The 3,663-nt window shown below is 38.1% G+C and overlaps 1 annotated feature.

Moving 5' to 3' along the window:
- Window positions 1,071–1,120: an enhancer, noted in NCBI's record as "active region_19615". NCBI's record gives its function as "activates an Ori minimal core promoter by ATAC-STARR-seq in GM12878 lymphoblastoid cells {active_cell/tissue: GM12878}" and the evidence as "EXISTENCE:reporter gene assay evidence [ECO:0000049][PMID:35858748]".

Below are 3,663 nucleotides of genomic sequence, written 5' to 3' on the forward strand. Positions count from 1 at the left end.
AGAGACAAGCCACCACCTCCGGAGTCAAGCCCTGCCTCCTACCTCAAGCCTCTTATCTATGGATTTTCTTCCACCTCTGCTACCCTGGAAACAGCAAGACCAACCCCTACCTCTTCCTGCTCCTATTCAAAGTAAGGATAAGGATGAAGACCTTAGGATGCACTGCAACATAATGAATGGTAGACATGTTTTTCTCCTCCTTATGATTTTCTTAATAACATTTTCTTTTATATAACTTACTTTGTTGTAACAATACATTATGTAATGCATATAGCACACAAAATATATGTTAATCAGCTGTTTATGTTATCGGTAAGGCTTCCAGTCAGCAGGATGCTGTTAGTGTTTAAGTTTTGGGGAACTAGAAAAAATATGCAGATTTTTTACTACAAGGGGAGTTAGTATCTCTAACCCCAGCAATTGTTCAAGGATTAATTGTATATGTACATTTTGTATTAAAAGGAGAAAAGGGATGTATATTGGGGCAAATGTTAATAATGATTCTCTTTGAAATTATAAAAATTTCTAATATTATCATATATTTTAAAGTTTTTTTCTGAATTTTATAGGTAGAATGCTTTATGATAAACAAAAAACACATTAAATTATATATTTTTAAAATAAACAACCTCTATTTATGTTATAATAATTGTGAAATATTCCTAAGCAAATCAACTGCATCTTTCAAATTATTCACTTTCTCTTTCAATAGGTATTTACTAAGGCTTCCTAAAAAGGAAATTTCACATGAGTCACATAATCTGCTCTGTCACTTTCAAAAACTGAAACATCATATCCATTTCTAGAGCAACAGGTGCTTGGAGTTCCCCCTCTGTAGGGGTGAGTGAAGTATTGGCCTCGGGCCCTTCATGGTCTCTCCACAGATCTTTGTCCAGATCAACGAATACATTTTTCCAAGTGGCTGCCTGTGTTGAAAATAATGTTCAAAAAGGATAGTGTATTCCCTAACAGCTGCTTCAGATAATAAAATGATGACATTTTATTGGTGCATTTCCTTCTCTAATGTGCTTCTGCACACATCATCTCATATGATGACAGCCTAGAAACTTCCGACAGCAGCAACATATCATAGAGCGATTTTGTACCTCATCCTCTCAACCACATTTGCTTTCAAACAGCAACAAGAAACTGTACCAAGAAAATCAAACAGTTGGGCCTGGCTTGAGTAGGCAGTGAGATAGTGAGGCAGGAGACTAGGATCTGGAGGCAGGGAACCTAAGGCTGCTTCACGCCAACTTCCTAGAACTAAATTGCAAGGAAAACCCTAACTTTCCACGCCTAAGTCACAAAAGGCCAGAGGCTACTCCCTTTGCAAGCCCTCCACTTTTTCTGCATGGCAGATGGGAAATTGGCTGCACAACCAATCAGACAGACTGTGGGTGGAGTCTTCACTTTTTACAACCAATCAGATGTTTGCAAAGGAGTGTGACCTTCCTAACTTCACTTCAGCCTCTGGTTGGCTGCTTTATGCAACCAATCAGACTGATTTCAGGCTACCACTTCATTTACATGAGGTGAGCATGAAGTGGCCAATGGGAAACTTCTAGGGTGTATTTGGACCCAAGAAGATTCTATGTCTGGGCCCCTGAGCCACTGCTCGGCCCGCTCCGCTCCCACACTGTTGGGTGTACTTTCATTTTCAATAAATCCCTGCTTTTGTTCTTTGATTGCTTCATTCTTTCTTTGCTTTGCTGAACATTTTGTCCAATTCTTTGTTCAAAATGCCGAGAACCTGGACAACTTGCAGTCACGGCCCTCTACTGGTGACAGTAGAGAAGGAATAGGAAATTATATCTATTGGATGCCTAAGTGTGATGTAGGCACAGTGGGAAGCCCTTTTACCCATGCTAATATGTATATTTTTTGACTAAGGGACTTTTATCCTGGGGATAATAAAAGTGGGTGAAACTAAAATAAACACATATTCAAATCAAAGTACAAAAAGAAATGTAACATTTTATTCACTGGAATCCCTCTTGGGATCACATGAGGAATATCTGCAAATCCTCCATCCTTTCCCTGCAAAATACTTTGTTATTAACTCTGTGACATCTACAAAACAACCTTAGATCTTCTTTATTTGATCATGTGGCTCAGTTTTGTGTTACTATGCAAACGTTTCATGCATAGGAGACACTTGAGGCCTTAGCCATCATTTACAGCAGTGGTTCGCAAAGTGTGGTCCCTGGCCTAGCACCATCAACATCACCCAGGAACTCACTAGAAATGCAAATTGTGGGGTCCAAAAATTATAATTTAAACCAACTAAATCAAACTAAGAGTGGAGAGAGAGGGGTACCTTAGTAATCTATGCTTTTTACAAGTCCTACAGGTGGTTCTGATATAGCCACAAGTTTGAGAAGCCCTAGTAGTTAACAAGAATGATCAGATAGTATTTTTTTTAACTATAATCATTAAATCTGGTATTTCTCTTTTTCTTTGGCCCTCTCTCCATTCAGTCTGCTAGTTCAGGTTTACTCTATCTTAGCAGCAGAGTTCCCTGCTGAGACAAAGATTACTTTGTGTCTTAATTCAGACTATAGACTGAGGCTGGACACTGGCTCACACCTGTAATCCCACCAAACAAGAAAAGCATTCCCTGAGGAGAGAAAATGAAGGGAGGGTTGCAATGACAGTGTAAACATTGACAGTTCCCAAAAAGTGTGGTTCAGCACACTACCCTTTTGGAGTGTCACTGACATGACCTTAGACCTTTGACCTCACAGTCATACAAAGTATGACTAAGTACTTAACTCACTCAACCCTCTCAACAACCCTGTGAGGTAGGCACTACTATTATCCCTGCTTTACAGATATGGGTATTGAGAAGTCCAATTACTTGGTAAAGGTCACACAGCAAGTAAATGGGCAAGCTGGAATTGGAACCTGGCAGTCTGGATCCAGAATTCATGCTTATAACCACCTAGTTATGCTGTCTGATTCTGAGGGCACATGAGCAACCAAACTGAGTAGCATTTAAACATCTGTGATTTGTGCCACTAACATGTAGAAAGAATATAGATAGAATTTAGAGGAGAAGGCATAAAGAGATTAGTTGAATCCAATTAAATGGTGAGGCAATTTTCATGAGGAGGCATAACAAATAGGTAACATGGAAAGTGAATCCAGAAGATGCAGTCTGTGAAGTGAGATGGACAGCCAGAAGGAACAAATGTAAAACTCGTCTCAGTCTGGCAGGCAAGAATCCCATTGGCATTCCAGACAGCACCCTCTCAGGTCATTAAAAACCTCAGCCACTTGAGAATGTAACCTCAGAAATTATTTGAAAGTGTTACCCTAAATATTTTGGCTTAGCATAATTATTTCATTAGTTGGTAGCATTTTTCAACACAGAGAAGATTTATAATTAGATATAGAAATACTTAAGCAAATCCAAGCTATAATATGAACGTTATGTTCTAAATCTGTGCATGTGTGGTGTGTCTGAGAACTTATAATGATCAGAAATATTTGGTCTATTAAAATAATAGGTTATACTTATAATTCTAATTCAGAAATTAATGCACAATTGAGTAATTGGTTTATATTTTCTATTTTTTTTTACTAAAGTATGCCTTTTAAAAACACAAAGAAAAATATGTTAGCAAATAATTAACATTTTTATTCACAATTTTTATCCTC

Source organism: Homo sapiens, chromosome 3 (assembly GCF_000001405.40).
Source record: "Homo sapiens chromosome 3, GRCh38.p14 Primary Assembly".
Classification (NCBI taxonomy): Eukaryota; Metazoa; Chordata; class Mammalia; order Primates; family Hominidae; genus Homo; species Homo sapiens.